This window comes from Homo sapiens, chromosome 1 (genome assembly GCF_000001405.40).
Source record: "Homo sapiens chromosome 1, GRCh38.p14 Primary Assembly".
NCBI lineage: Eukaryota > Metazoa > Chordata > Mammalia > Primates > Hominidae > Homo > Homo sapiens.
In genome coordinates, this window is record NC_000001.11 from 116138150 (window position 1) to 116141334 (window position 3185).

Consider the following 3185-nt stretch of genomic DNA (forward strand, 5'->3'; position numbering starts at 1 on the left):
TGGTGGGGTCCCTAGGCTATCGTTTAATAAGTAATGATTTTAAAATATTGAAAAAAAAATTTCCAAACCAACAATGAGTTTACAATTTTTGAAAACATGAAGGCTTGGTGCAGTGGCTCATGCCTGTAATCCCAGCACTGTGGGAGGCTGAGACAGGAGGGTCACTTGAGACCAGGAGTTCAAGACCAGCCTGGGCAACATAGCCAGACACTGACACCCCGTCTCTACAAAAAATTTAAAAATTAGCCGGATGTGGTGCTCAGGAGGCTGAGATGAGAGGATTCCTTGAGACCAGGAGTCTGAGGCTGCAGTGAGCTTTGATTGTACCACTGCACTCTAGCCTGGGTGACGGAGTCACCGGAAGGGAGACCCTGTCTCTAAAAAAAAAATTTAAAAAGAGCATATAAAATGGTGAACAAACTAACATTTTGTTAAATCATCAAAAATTTGTATTCTAATTCTCATATTCTTGTATCTTAGGAAACATCATTTTTGAAAAGGTGGCAAATGTAATAAGGTTTTAAATTTAATTTCGGCCGGGCAGGGTGGCTGAGGCCTGTAATCCCAGAACTTTGGGAGGCCTAGGTGGGCGGATCCCTTGAGGCCAGGAGTTCCAGACCAGCCTGGCCAACGTGGTGAAATCCCGTCTCTACTAAAAATGCAAAAATTAGCCAGGCATGGTGGTGGGCACCTGTAATCCCAGCTACTTGGGAGGCTGAGGCAGGAGAATCGCTTGAACCTGGGAGGCAGAGCTTGCAGTGAGCTGAGATCTGGCCACTGCTCTCCAGCCTGGGCTGGGCTACAGAGCGGGACTCTGTCTCAAAACAAAACAAAAACCATCTTAAGCAACTTTTAAAACAGCTACACAGTCACGGAATGCTAAAAAGTGAAAATTGACTGTAACATTGGTTCAATATGTGTGTACGTGTGTGGAAAGGGAGGAACTGACGTGCGCCACAGTCTGATTCCGGTAGATTCTTTCCGTCTTTCCCCTGAGATCTGAGGGTTTTGCAGGAAGCAGGGCTACCAGCAGCTTCCTGCGTATTCCCAATTCTTGCCAGCAGAGGGCAGCAAGGGAACACATATGAAAGGAGCCAGGTCCCACCCATTCTCGTCCTCGGAGCCCAGCAGGTGTCACACTTCTCAGCCCGTAACTTACACCTGGTCCCTCCAGAGCAAGGATGAGTGGATTCCAGCTCATGCCAAATTGTTGACCTTTCCTGCCATTTTAGCCGAGATTTACATCTTTCTCCTTAAAACTCAGATTTTAAAAGGGAGCCTATGAGAGGACCGTCCATCCAGGCTCCCGGGGCATTCAGCTCCATTCTGTTTCCTGGGACAGATTGCACAGCTAAGAAAAGCCAGAGAATATTACTCCTTTATTCTGTTCTTTTTTTTTTTTAATTCTCCAAAAGACCGTTCAATCCTTCTTCACTCTTCCAGGCCCAAGACTAGGCGTGTAGAGGAATGGTTGGTTTTCAGCCACCGCAGTTGACCTGCCTGCGTCTGCATCCCAGTTCTGATGCCGAGGAGCTGCATGACCTTGGCAAGCTGTTTGGCCTTTCTGTGTCTCTAGTTCCTTCTCTCCAAAATGGGCATTGTGATGGCCAGAATTGTGTCCACCACAATTCATAAGTTCAAGCTCCAACCCCCAGCACCTCAGAATGTGACTGTATTTAAAGAGGTGATTAAGTTAATAATAAAGAGGTGATTAGCTGATTCAGTCTGACGGGTATCCTTAAAGGAGAGGAGATTAAGCACACAGAGAGATGCCAGGGATGTGCATGCGCAGAGGGCAGCCACCCACAGACCAAGGAGAAAGGCCTCAGGAGAAACCAGCCTGTCCACACCTGCTCTTGGACCACCAGCCTCCAGAACTGGGAGAAAATACATTTCTGTTATTTAAGTCACCTAGTCTGTGGTATTTGGTTATTTTCCTATGGCCCTAGGAAACTGTTACAGGCATCATGAAAGAATATATACCTCATAGTGTTAATGAGAGCAACGAATGGAATGATGGATGTAAAAGGCTCTTAGTTGAGTACCTGGCATGGGATAACTGCTGAACAAATGTTTTCATTTTAGATGCCTACCCCTCGTGCTATTTGCCCATCTCTACCATTCCTGATAACTATACCAGACCACAGATAAATTCTTTGTAAAGAAAATATAAACCATCACAGAGGAAACATGAGAAAATTTCACTGCAAATTCTGCAAGCCCATTCTCCCCTTCGTCCCTCTTGCTAAAATATAGAAGGTATCTCCCTGAAAGGCCAATTTCTCCACATGTGACAGCTCAGATGCCTCCCAGCTCTTCAGTCTTTCCATTTATTTCTTGTAGTTTCCTCCACATCCTCCCGCAATGGCCGCTTCACTCTCTTCTCCCCTTTACTGTCCAGCTTCCTGAGTTACTATACGTGTATCTCCACCTACTCGCCTCATTCACTCTTTTTGTTTTTTTAAATTGTGAAATATATTTATACATGTGAGAATCTAACCTATTTAAAGAAGAATAATAAAGCAGGCTGGGCGCGGTGGCTCACACTTGTAATCTCAGCACTTTGGGAGGCTGAGGCGGGGGGAGTCACGTGAGGCCAGGAGTGTGAGACCAGCCTGTCCAACATGGCAAAGCCCCGTCTCTACCAAAAATACAAAAAATTATCCAGGCGTGGTAGTGCACATCTGCAGTCCCAGCTACTCGGGGAGGCTGAGGTGGAAGAATAGCTTGAATCTGGGAAGCAGAGGTTGCAGTGAGCCGAGATTGTGCCACGGCACTCCAGCCTGGGCAACAGAGTGAGACTCTGCCTCAAAATAATAATAATAATAATAATAATAATAATAATAATAATAATAATACACCAATATACTGTACCTTGGTGAAAAATAGCACATTGTCAGTATACGGAATTCTCCTTGCTTCCCCTTCCTTCCAGCAGCCTCCTTCCTCCCAGACATAGGTAATCGTAGGTATCCCACATTTTATGTTAATCATTCTCATGTTTTTCTTTATAGTTCTACTTCCTACCATATTTCATTGAACTTAAGCTCCCGACATTGTAAGATGCATTATTATTTCACCTCTAAGAAAGAGACTCACAAAATGAATGGTTTGGTTACAAAATTTTGGTTACAAAATGAATCTCAATTTTGAAGTGTTTGAAATGTCAAAAAAAGAGACATGGC

At 44.6% G+C, this 3185-nt stretch overlaps 2 annotated features.

The window, feature by feature from the left end:
* Positions 811–860: an enhancer, noted in NCBI's record as "active region_1557". NCBI's record gives its function as "activates an Ori minimal core promoter by ATAC-STARR-seq in GM12878 lymphoblastoid cells {active_cell/tissue: GM12878}" and the evidence as "EXISTENCE:reporter gene assay evidence [ECO:0000049][PMID:35858748]".
* Positions 959–1253: an enhancer, noted in NCBI's record as "tiled region #11424; K562 Activating DNase unmatched - State 5:Enh". NCBI's record gives its function as "activates a minimal TATA promoter and a strong SV40 promoter by Sharpr-MPRA in K562 cells {active_cell/tissue: K562}" and the evidence as "EXISTENCE:reporter gene assay evidence [ECO:0000049][PMID:27701403]".